At 39.2% G+C, this 12,529-nt stretch overlaps 2 annotated features.

Annotated features, from left to right (window-relative positions):
- Nucleotides 1,795-1,864: an enhancer, noted in NCBI's record as "active region_3414". NCBI's record gives its function as "activates an Ori minimal core promoter by ATAC-STARR-seq in GM12878 lymphoblastoid cells {active_cell/tissue: GM12878}" and the evidence as "EXISTENCE:reporter gene assay evidence [ECO:0000049][PMID:35858748]".
- Nucleotides 1,895-1,944: an enhancer, noted in NCBI's record as "active region_3413". NCBI's record gives its function as "activates an Ori minimal core promoter by ATAC-STARR-seq in GM12878 lymphoblastoid cells {active_cell/tissue: GM12878}" and the evidence as "EXISTENCE:reporter gene assay evidence [ECO:0000049][PMID:35858748]".

Below are 12,529 nucleotides of genomic sequence, written 5' to 3'. Positions count from 1 at the left end.
AATCACTTACTTGGCAGTGCCTCTGTTCCTTCGTCTGTAAAATGGGGAAAATATCAGTATGTACCTCATAAAGTTGTCATGAAAATTAAATGAGTTCATACATGTGAGCACTTTGAACAATGTCTAAGTACCAGCAAGCACTGTTACGTATACACTATTATTGTTATGCACGCAATATATCATATTCATTGTAAAGAAAACCCTATCCCCACTTAAAAAAATCAAAAAGATGAGATAAAAAGTAGATTAAACAGAAATGCATTATATTCTGCCTGTCTTCCTGGACTGGCTTGCACAGCTCCTGGCTTCCTTATTTTCTCCTTTGGCCACTGTGGGGATTGACTGTACCCACTTTGAATATTCCAATGGGCCATGTAGACCCATAGTGTGAGCCCATTAAGATCATAGACTGGGGATATTGTTCAGGAACCAAGAGGCTCAAAGAAACAAGTTTGCACTGAGAATGAGTCTGAGTACCCAAAGATCAGGCCGGAGTCCTGCCAGGAGAGGGGCAAGGCTGGCACTTCATTTCAGCTAAGCACAAAGTTTACATCGCATTGAGGACTTTCCCTGACCCATCTCTTTTCAAGTAGCTCCCTCATTCCCAGTCAGTCTATTCCATCACTTAGTTGTATTTTCTTCTTCACTGCTTCTCTGAAATTGTCCAATTTCTTTGTTTGTGTGTTTATTTTCTGTCTCCTTCATCAAGATATAGGATGCCATCTATTTCTTTCATAGTAGTATTTCCGGTGGTTAAACCAGTTCCTGGTACAGGGTTGGTGCTCCATAGATATTTATAGGATTAATGAGAAATTTAACCTTCTCTTATCGCCCCAGGGACTGCAAGAAGCTAATAAATAGAAGTTAAGGAACTTGAGAGCTTACCTAGGTAGCTCCTCCCCTATTGCCCGCCCCCTTCCTCATACTCCCAATTGATAAATGAGAAAATTGAAATTTGGAGGTTAGGAGACCATCCAAGAACATACACAGAGCAGGACCGAGGGCTCCTGACTCTTTATTTGACATCCAGGGGCTACATTGTGATGCCTTTTCTTTGCGGGAGGGAATAGGAGAATGCAGAAATTTTCTTTGTGTCTAAAATAGATTAGAAGGTGTAAAATCCAGGCCCTATCTTCTATCCACTGTGAGTCAGAACAAACTGTGTCTGCCTTCCATGGTTTTGAAATAATTTTGATCTAGGAAAGAAGGAAAAAGGAAAAAAGGAAGGGAGGGAGGAAAAGCAGAAAAAGGAACAAGGAAGACGAGAAGGGAAATGTTAATGAGGATATTTCTTTCCTTTTTGGTGTTGGGAATTCTCTGGAGGGTTTCCAGCCCTGGGCTAAAGGATACCTTCTTCTCTCATTCTTCTGGGCCACAGTTGCATTCGGCCTGAGGTTTCTATGGGAGACTAGATTTCAGGTCTATTTAAAGAGACAAGATGATTTGCCTACTACACCTTTTTGTTGAAATTTCTCAATCTTTTCCCATACTCTACTTCTTCTGAATTACATTTTGCCTCCTCTTGCTTTATTTGTATTCCAGCTAAGCCTCACTTCCTCAATGTCCTTCCACATTCTCAACAAAGTTGTATCAGATATTTATTGAGCTGGAACTTATTATATACAGTTACTTTCACTTCCCCTTTCTATGGATACTGCAGACATCTGTTTGAGTAGCTTTATTAGCCCTATTTTTTTACTTATGGAGACAAGGACCCAGAAAAGTTAAGTGATAACTTACCCTGGTATATAAGTCACAGTACTAGAATTTGAAGCCAAATCATGCAATTCCAAAGCCCATGCACTTTCTGTTATATCAGAGCCACTTCCTCTTAACACCATGTTAACCATTTAATAGCAGATTTGGCTGCAAATGACAGAACATCCCATTAATAGCACCTTAAACAAATGGGAAGCTTATTTTTCTCACATAATGAAACATGTAGATGAGCATCATCAGGCCTAGTGTAGTGGCCCAGGGATGTCAGGGGAGACTCAGCTTTGCTCTGTTCCACTGTGCCCTCCTTAGCATGTTACTTTCACCCTCAGACATGTTGCCACTGGTTGTAAGATGGCGACTCCACCTGCAGCCTCATGGCCACATTCCCAAAAGAAGAAAAACAGGGAAGGAGCAAAAGGCCAAAAGAACATGCCAGTTGGATTTGTCCTTTTTAAAGGTCTTTTTTAGGAGTCTCACAGATACTTCTGCTTTTATTTCTTTGCCCAAATGGTGTTGTGGGGGAGCCCCTTGCTGTATGGATAAAGAAGAGATGAGTTGGAGATTGGGTCAGCCAACCAACAACACCTGCTTCATCTTACTTGGCTGAAATTCTTTACCTCTTTACTTTCACATGGCTGCCTAATTGTTTTCTGAGACTCTTCAGAAGCATCCAGCAGTTCTGTAAGTGTAGAAACTGGTTTTACCATCTCTTGCACCCTGCCTGAGGCTAAGCTGGCCTCAAGGAATGACCAGTAAAGATTGACTGGAAAGAACTTCCCAAGAAGGCCATGGGAGAGGAAGAGCTTAGGAGATGGGTGACAGATGGGAGAAAACTCAGCCAGGATCATAGGACACATTCCTGGGGTCCTGCAGGTCCTGGAGTCATGCAGCTGAAGGCTGCTGCATGGTTAGGCCCCTGGGACATGCAGGGTTCATAAGAAGGTAGGAGGGATATAAGCCATCTCAGTCTGCCCAACTAAGCAGAGGGGAGGAAAAGCATGAGGTGAGCCTGTATCTGTTTTTGCCATCTCACTCCACTTTATCTATAGAGAGGAAATGCTTGCACAAATCATAATGACATTCTCTTTTAAGCCTGATTTCCTTTCATTCATTTTAACTCTCTTGATGCTGAAGCCAAGCTCTCTGATGGCTACATATGGGGGAACCATTATTATGGGTGGCAAGTGGGGGGATCTGTGAGCTGATGGAAAGTCTCCTGCTCTAGAAATAGCTCTTCCTGGGACCCTAGCAGTGTTGGACAGGCCACCATTTGAACTTAAATCTTTTTGGTCAAAACATTATCTGGTATCTTTTTCTTTATTGCTGCCTCTTCCACACTTTTTTTTTCTCTAGAGGCAGGATCTTGCTATGTTGCCCAGGCTGGAGTGCAGTGGCTATTCACAGGCATGTACTACAGTCTTAAACTCCTGGCCACAAGCCTTAGCCTCCTCTGTAGCTGGAACTACAGGTATGCGCAACCACGCCTGGCTCTCCCACTTTTTATTTTATTTTATTTTTTATTTTTATTTTTTACTTTTATTTTTTATAAACTATAGACATTTAAAGAAGAAAAAGTCTGGGTGCAGTGGCTCACGCCTGTAATCCCAACACTTTGGGATGCTGAGGCAGGTGAATCACTTGAGCTCAGAAATTTGAGACCAGACTGGGCAACATGGTGAAACCCCCGCTCTAAAAAAAAAATACAAAAAATTAGCCAGGCGTGGTGGTATGCACCTGTAGTTCTCAGCTGGAGGCTGAGGTGGGAAGATCCCTTGAGCCTGGGAAGTTGAGGCTGCAGTGAGCCATGATCGTGCCACTGCACTCCAGCCTGGGTGACAGAGTGAGACCCTGTCTCAAAATAAATTAATTAAATAAAAATAAAAAATAATGGCTGGGTATGGTGGCTCACGGCTCTAATCCCAACACTTTGGGAGGCCAAGGCGGGTGGATTACTTGAGGTCAGGAGTTTGAGACCAGACCAGCCTGGCCAACATGGTGAAACCCCCGTCTCTTCTAAAAATATAAAAATTAGCTAGGTGTGGTGGCACACACCTGTAATCCCAGCTACTCGGGAGGCTGAGGCAGGACAATCTCTTGAACCCAGGAGGTGGAGGTTGCAGTGAGCTGAGATTGTGCCACCGCACTCCAGTGGGACCCTGTCTCAAAATAGTAATAATAATAATAATAATAATAATACTATTAATAATAATAATAAGAAGAAAAAAAGTTCATCATCTCACTACTCAGGTAATCCATGTCCATATTTTAACGAATGAAAGTAATTCACCTATGTATTTTTAAAACTTCCAATAGTAAAGTATGAAATGAAACATAAAAGTCTTCATGCATCAGCTCTTTGTCTCTGCCCAAAAGTAGCCACTTGTAAAATATTTTTTATTGCTTTTAGAAAATGTGTTTATTTCTAGACCAGTGTGCATGTCTGTCTGTCCATCTATTCCTATAAAATTGACATAAAAAGAATGATTCAGTACACACAGTCCTCTACCTCTTTTTTCCCTGTCTCTGATATACAGAAAGCTACTTCATTCTTTTTCACAGCTGATAATAATCTATCAGATAGGAGGAGCCCCATAGGCTATGTAACTATCCCTTACTGATGGGTTACTTTTCCTTGTTGCTGTTACAAACAATGCCACAGGGAACACACCTGTACATATCTCTTGACCAACATGTGCAGGGATAATTATATAGGTAAATTCTTAGCAAGCAAATATTACTGAGTAAAATAATATGTACCTTTAAAAGTAGATGGACTTTGTCAAGCTTCCTTCCAGAAATGAACCAGTCCACCACCCCTGCCCCACATCAGTGTCTGACAGTGCTTGCCTGTCAATAGCCTTCTCAGAACAGGACTCATCACTGTAGGTTCTCATAACATGAGTTAAGAAACAATCTGTTGCTGCTGTTTAATTTTCATTATTTTACTTACAAATAATATTGAGCATATTTTCATACTTACTATGTCTTATTTTCACTTTTTGGTAATTAACTACTGATAAGCTTTGTCAATTTTTTTTTCCTATTGGATTGTTCGTTTTCTATTTTATTTACAAAAGCTTTTTGAAAATGAAAGCAATTAGCTCTTTTCCTGTCACATCCATTATAAATATTTTCCCAACTTGTCACTCGTTTCTTCTCTTAGTTGAGGGTATATTTTTACCCACCCCTCCAAAAAAAAATCACAATTTTTATATAGTCAAATTTAACTTTATGGTCTCTGGGTTTTGAATCCTTCCTAGAAAGGCCTTTCCTATTCCAGGAGCTTAAACACAGTCATTTATTTTCCTAGAACCATTATAGCTCATTTTCTATATTTAATTTTTTTTTTTTTTGAGACGGAGTCTCGCTCTGTCACCCAGGCTGGAGGGCAGTGGTGCAATATCGGCTCACTGCAACCTCTGCCTCCGGAGTTCAAGCAATTCTCCTGCCTCAGCCTCCTGAGTAGCTGGGACTAACAGGCACCTGCCACCATGCCCGGCTAATTTTTTTGTATTTTTGGTAGAGACGGGATTTCACCGTGTTAGCAGGATGATCTCGATCTCCTGACCTTGTGATCTGCCCGCCTCGGCCTCCCAAAGTGTTGGGATTACAGGCATGAGCCACTGCTCCCGGCCCTACATTTAAATTTTTGATCCATCTGGAATTGATGTTACTAAAATAACTGAAGTAAGGATCCAGCTTTATTTTTTTTCTCCAGTCAATTGATCTAGCACTGTTTACTGATTAATTGCCTTTTCCTCACTGTTTTAAAGTGTTGCCATTTCATATCTTAGTTCCCGTATGATTTTGGTTTCATTTATGAACTCTTCATTCTTATTCATTGATCTATTTTTCCCTAATGCCAAACCATTTTAATTATTAGAGCTTTAAAATAGTTTTAGTATCAGTCATCTAGTTCTTACTGTTTTTCATTTTCAACACTTTTTCTGACTCATCTTCATAATTAGTTTTACAAACAAACATTAATATTATTTTGTTAAGTTAAAAATTGCTATTTCAGTTGGGATTTCATTAAATGTACAAATTAACTTAGGAGGAAATGATATTTTTCTATCAAAGACCATAGTGTGTCTTTCCATTTGTTAAGTCATTTTTAGGTCTGCCAATAGGTTATCAAAGAGTTTTTAATAAAAGTCCTGCAAATTACTTGTTATATTGATCTTTAGGATTCTTTTCAGTTGCTGTATTTTAAATGAGATCTTTTCTTTTACCATAACCTCTAACAAGTTACGGTTTAGGAAAGCCTACTGGTTTTAAATAGTTACTTAGCAACTCATCTCTTCTCTGAATTCTCTTCTTGTTTTTTATTGTTTTCCAGTTGGTTCTCCCAGGTTTTCTGGGCCTGGTATCCTCTTTCAGAATGTAAATTATCCCATAAGGTGTAATATTTGTCAGATCATTTATTGATTAATATTTGACTAGGCCTGTGTTATGCGAGGTTGTGCTCCAGTTGTAAATGAGCCTGTACATTCCTACTTGGGTACTTCCCCTACAAGTCCTGCTTCCCCACCTCAACCACTGCCTTTCCTCTCTCTCAGTTCCTACAACACCCGGTGCTCCTTCTTGTTTGTGAGATTTCATGTATCTTATTTCTCTATTCATCACTTCTCAGACCTTCACTTAAAGGTTACTTCCTTCAGCCAGGCGCGATGGCTCATGCCTGTAATCCCAGCACTTTGGGAGGCCGAGGCAGGCCACTCACGAGGTTAGGAGTTCAAGACCAGCCTGGCCAAGATGGTGAAACCTGTCTCTACTAAAAATACAAAAATTAGCCTGGCGTGGTGGTGGGTGCCTGTAATCCCGGCAGGGAATTGCTTGAACCTGGGAGGCGGAAGTTGCAGTGAGGCGAGATCACACCACGGCACTCCAGCCTGGGCGACAGAGCGAGACTCTGTCTCAAAAAAAATAGTCACTTCCTTCAAGAGACCTTCCCTGAGCCTTGGTTGATGGTACCATTTCCTTTGCTCTCCTCCCTAAAGGTCTTTGACTGTCGTCTTTTGTAACACCCAACATACTTAGAAGTGCTGCTGTCATACCTGCCTTCCTTGCTAGACTTCCAGCTCCAGGAGAAAGAGAGGCACAGCCTTCCTTGGTGCTGTAACTGGAGCTCCCAGACCGCCTGGCACGTATAGATGACCAAGGGGTATTTGTTGGATTATAGCCTAAAACAGCCTGCTGCAAACCTGACATTTTTTTATGTCTTTGGTTTTACCTTAAAACTCAGAAGAATTTTGCCTTCTATTACATACTATGTTTGTATTATTTTAAATCTAAAATGAATTTTTTTTAATGGTGGAGTAGATTAACAAACACAGCAGGGTTTCCATGCCTTTGTGAATGGCTAGAGATTTAAACTCTTCATCTTTAACTTAAAAGATGAATTAGCTTCTTAATGACCTTATATTATTATTATGGGCTGAATGTCTGTATTCCCCCAAAATTCCTACGTTGAAATCTAATTCCCAATATAATGGTGTTTGGAAGAGGGGCCTTTGGGAGGTGATGGGGTCAGGGATAGAGCCCTCGTGAGTGGGATGAGTGCCTTACAAGGAGAGACTAAAGAGATGAGCTGTCTTATTTGTCATGTGAGGATACAAGGAAAAGATGGGCATCTGCAAACCAGTAAGCAGACACTCACCAAACACTGAATCTGCCGGCACCTGCATCTTGAGCTTTCCAACAAACTGACAAGGCAATTAAGAACGAGGTTTTACTTTTCCCCCAAATATTTGTTGTGGGAATTAGCAGACCCTAGTTTGCGATGGGTGAAAGAATCTCGTCATTCACACTTGTCTGTGGGCTCCTCCACGCCACCTGCATGAGCCAAGGTCCTGATGAACAGTTAGGAATAGCTGGGTAGGCTACGGGCCGGCAGAAGGAACAGCCCAGCACAAACACGCCGCAGACTCTGTGTGGCAATATGACAAGAATGTTTGATGAATAAAAAATGCACTTCACAAAGATGAACTTCCCAAGCTTGGATGACAGACCTAGAGATGCTGAAAAAGAGCAGTCACCAAGAGGGATGGAGAGAGCCCAAGGGGACTGTGTGCAGACCTCCCCTCAACTCACACCAGGAGCGTGGTGGGAAAGGTGCAATTCCAAGGGGGGAATTCTGTCTGCTTCAGTTCAGGGTAGAGGCTGGGCACCTGAATGCCGAAGCCAGATGCCCCGTGTTCATAATCACAGCGCAGACACTTGCTAGTGGAGTAATTATAGGCAAGTTAATTACTTTGCCTAAGCCCCAATTTCCTCATCTGTGAAGGGTTTTAATAGAAACATGAAATAAAGGGTATGAAGAACTCAGTGCCTTGCTTGTATTGCAATAAAAGATGAACAGATATTACTATTACAGATCACTAAATCAGAGCATTCAAAAAAGCCCATTTTTTCAATCCCAGATATTGATTCTCCAGATCTGAGCTAGTCACTGATTTAAGAAGATGCCCAATCTAGTGAAGACGATTGCCCACAAACATAATTTGCCTTTTGGTTTCCTTGCAGAATTTTCCAAATTAAAGCGAGCTTGACTTCATGAATATGACTTAGTTTACACACATGGGTAGAGCACGTTCCAGGAATTTGACATTATGTTAAAGTGGGAGAGCAGCAGAAGGATCCCAGTGCCCAAGGATCAAGGAGTCAACAGGACATTTTTCTTCTACACAGCAAATCATCCTCCCTATTTGGGGCCTCTATGAAATAGAAGAGATGATGTATTAAAACCTGTTCTTAGAGTCTAGGCTTGAATTCTGGCTTTGCCATGAATGTTCTAGGTGATGTTTGGTGGGTTATCTAACCTGTCTAAGCTTCAGTGTCTACATTTGTAAGGAAGGTATAATAACATAACCCCAGAGAGTTGTTATAAAGAGAAACACTTAGCACAGAACCTGTGTGTGTGTGTGTGTTTGTGTATGCCACACCTATATACAATGCAACAGGGAATATATCTGTACATATATATGTGTACACACACATACACACACACACACACACACACATATACACACATGCATGCACAAATATTTGGGAAAGGAATTGAAAGTAAATATTTCGGGCCTAAGCAAACCAGTTCTATTACTATGCAGCCTCAGTTTCTCAGGAGAAATGTTGCAGACTCCCACCTCCCCTGTCCTGAGCTTCCACTCTGGGCAGGCCTATTTGCTCCTCCAAGCACAGCAGCATCCTGCCCACACATGGATTAGAAGCCCTGCTTGGAAATCATTCCCATGATGTTCTTGAAATCTGCACAATTTTGCCATAAAAAATGCAGAAAGGTACTCACCTTCAATCCATGTGCACAGCTGTAAGAACTGCTTCTAGCCTCATGTCCTTTGAGGCAAGGGGCCATATATTTTTCATTTATTTACGTATCTATTCTTCACTGGCTAACTTTTATGTTGTTTTTTTGTCTGTGTATTTCCCTGGGTGTGATGAGAATCAACGCTGCAATGAACATCCCCATACTTTGGCCTTCTAACGCAAGTGTGAGGGTTCTCAGGAAATATCTAAAAGTGTTCTTGCTAAGTTTATAGTACACAGTAAGTGCATTTGCCACTACACTGGATTTTGCCAAGTTGCTTTCCAAATGTTTTGCTAGATTTCTTCCTAGGTACCTTTTCTTTTCATTGGTATGGACATTTCAAAAATTGTCATTTCAATTGTCACTGGTAGATAAAAATGTTATGGACTTCTTTGATTTTTTTAGAACTCATATATAACAAGTTTGCTGAGCTCTCTCACTCACTGTAATAATTTACCTACAAATTCTGAGATTTTCCAGATGAACAGTCTTATTGTTTATGAAAAATATCAACTGATTTTCTTCCACTCCAAACCTTATGCATTTCATTTCCTATTATGGTCATATAATACGGCAAAAAATCTACCGCACTATGTTAAATAAAAGCAAAACTGTGATAGTAAATACCTTTGTGTTTTAAAAGCACGCTAAATGCTTTTAAATGCTTTGAATGTTTTAAAAGCATGCTAAAAAAAAAAGCCAAACAAATCTTTGCTGATAGAAATCAGAATAGTGATTGCCTTCTAGGTCAGAGTGGGCCAACTGACCAGAAAGTGTCATGAGAAAATGTTCTGCCAAAATGGAATTGTACGATAGTTTCTTCTTGGTCATGGTTACATTTGTCAAAATTCACCGAACTGTACACTTAAGAGCTGTACATTTTACTGCCCATTTTCTTCTTGATTTCTAAGGGCTATTTATATATTAGAGATATGAGCCTTTTGGGATATAAGTTGCAGAAGTTTATTCCCAAAGTAAAATTTGTATTTTAAATTTGCTTATTTTTGGCATATAGAAATTTTATGTTTATTCAGATAAATTTTCAATCTTTTATAGTTATAGCTCAATCTTTTATAGTTTTATAGTTTCTGAATTTTGAATCATAGGATGGCTTTTCCCATGCCAAGTTTATAAAACAATTACCCCGTGTTCTCCTCAAGTCTTTCATTATAATTTTATTTTGTACATTTAAATCTTTAATTCATTTGTAATTCATCTGTGTATTGTTTGAGGTTTGGATCCAACTTTTCTTCCTACATGACTTCATATATTATTTCACGAATGAAATTTCTAATATTTCACCATCTTTATCTTTTCAGAATAAATTTCTTTGTTATAATGTAATATTTCAATAACTTTCAAATTTTATTTTTATATTTTTGTATTTGTATGTGCACACACACACATATACACATGCACTGTATGTGTGCAAATAGATGTAAATAGGTATAAGCATAAACTTTTATAATTTGCTGAAATTTTTCTTAGGATTTCTGCATCTGGTTTATAAGTGCAGTGGGTCTGTATTTTCTCTTTCTTTCACTATCCTTTTTGAATTTTGATAATAAGGTCAAAATAAACTCATAAAAAGAATTGTGTAGATTTTCCTCTTTTTCAATTCTCTGAAACAGTTCTTAAAGCCATCTGGACCTGGTGTTTTTTGTGGGGAAATATTTGACTACTGAACAAGCTCTTAGTTATGACTTTTATGTTCCTCCTTGAGAAAATTTTGTTAATTTCTATTTTTCTATGAAACAGTTTTTCATCTAACTTTTCCAGTTTTTAAACTTAACACCATCCTCTAATAATTTTAAAAGTCTCTATTGTTTTCGTTTTACTTTCCTAGTACTGTTTATTGATGTCTTCTCTTTTTTTGCCCTCATTAATTTATTTAAAAACCTTAGGGCACTCTGACTCAGTGGTTGTGCTGATTTCTTGGATTTCAGGGTTGGAGTGGGGTATAAAGAAAGAGAGAAATTGCACAGTAAGAACAAACTTCAGGAAAGAGTCTTCTAATGCCATGGGCAGGTACTGCCTATTTTGATTGGTCATCAAAAGCTCAGTTACTCCTTATCTTCCTCAACTGTAAGGTGGGAATATATTATAGTATCTGCATGATGGAATGTTACGAGGATCAAATAAATTAATACCAAACAAACATTTAAAATATTGTTTGTCACATATAGAGCTGTCATTGATATCATTAGTTGTTGTTATTATGTGTAAAGGAGAAATAAATGAACAAACCCAGGTTTGAAGAACTAGGACCAAAACACTAAAAATATGTTGGTTAAGTGTTCTTCCACACTTGGTCCCTAGGTCCCCCTCTACCTACCTGGCCATCATGTTCCTCACACTGAATTCCCTCCCAGTCTCCATGGATAAATGTTGAATTACCATGGAGTGAAGAAGGAGGGCTTGAACATGACCACATCGAATATTTCACAGACTTTCGGGAAGTTGCATTCAAGCCTCACACAATCAGATTTAACATAAACAGCAGGGCTGGGTTAAAAGATACCATAAATGTAGACTTATCTTAGTGCTTTCTAAATGATTAGTTTATTGAGCATTTAACTGGTTAAATATTTTCATAAGATGTATAAATTTATATGATGTATAAATTTTGAATGAAAAATATTAAAGCCATCGTCACCCCAATAGATAAAGTTTTGCTAAAAAGAGGAACAATGTTGTTTGCTTTAGTGTTTAGGTTAAAGTTTATGTGCAGATATTGGCTTATCTGTCATTGGGTCTATCCACATACGCATATTGACCAATTGGCCTTTCTAGAGCTGTGCTGTCCAATAGAGTAACAACTAGCCACATGTGGCTATTGAAATTTAAATGAATAAAAAATAAGTAGAATTATAGAGTCAGTGTTTTCATCACACTGGGCACATTGCAAGGGTTCAGTCGCCACATTGGCTATTAGCTACAATATTGGACAACTCTAAATTATAGCAGTTCCACCATCCCAGGAAATTCTAATGAACACCTCTGTTCTAGAGGGAGTTTCACCGATAATTAAAGTATTAGTAGTTCCACCACGAAAGTACTAGTAGTTCTTGTACAGGTGCTTCAGGGAACAGAACACCTAGTTCTTACTAAAGCAGGCTGAATGCCTGTGGCTATGGCTAGCATGAATAAAAATAATATGTTTTTCTGAGCAGGTTAAACAAGTGCTTTGGAATGTTATTTACCCTGAGAATTACCATGGAGAGTCCAAAATTCAGGAATTCTGAATTAGTGAAGCTCAAATTAATGTGATTTATTATATTCCCTAGGTCAATCTTGAAGGCTGCACTTCCTTTTTTTTTTTTTTTTTTTTTTTTTTTTTGAGATGAAGTTTCGCTGGTAGCCCAGGCTGGAGTGCAATGGTGTAATCTCGGCTCACTGCAACCTCCGCCTCCCTGATTCAAGCGATTCTCCTGCCTCAGCCTCCCGAGTAGCTGGGATTACATCGTTCCTGGCCAGAGGTCACTT

This window comes from Homo sapiens, chromosome 10, assembly GCF_000001405.40.
Source record: "Homo sapiens chromosome 10, GRCh38.p14 Primary Assembly".
In the NCBI taxonomy this organism is placed as follows: Eukaryota; Metazoa; Chordata; class Mammalia; order Primates; family Hominidae; genus Homo; species Homo sapiens.
Note: the sequence above shows the minus strand (reverse complement) of the source record. Positions and strands in the feature narration are given on the sequence as shown.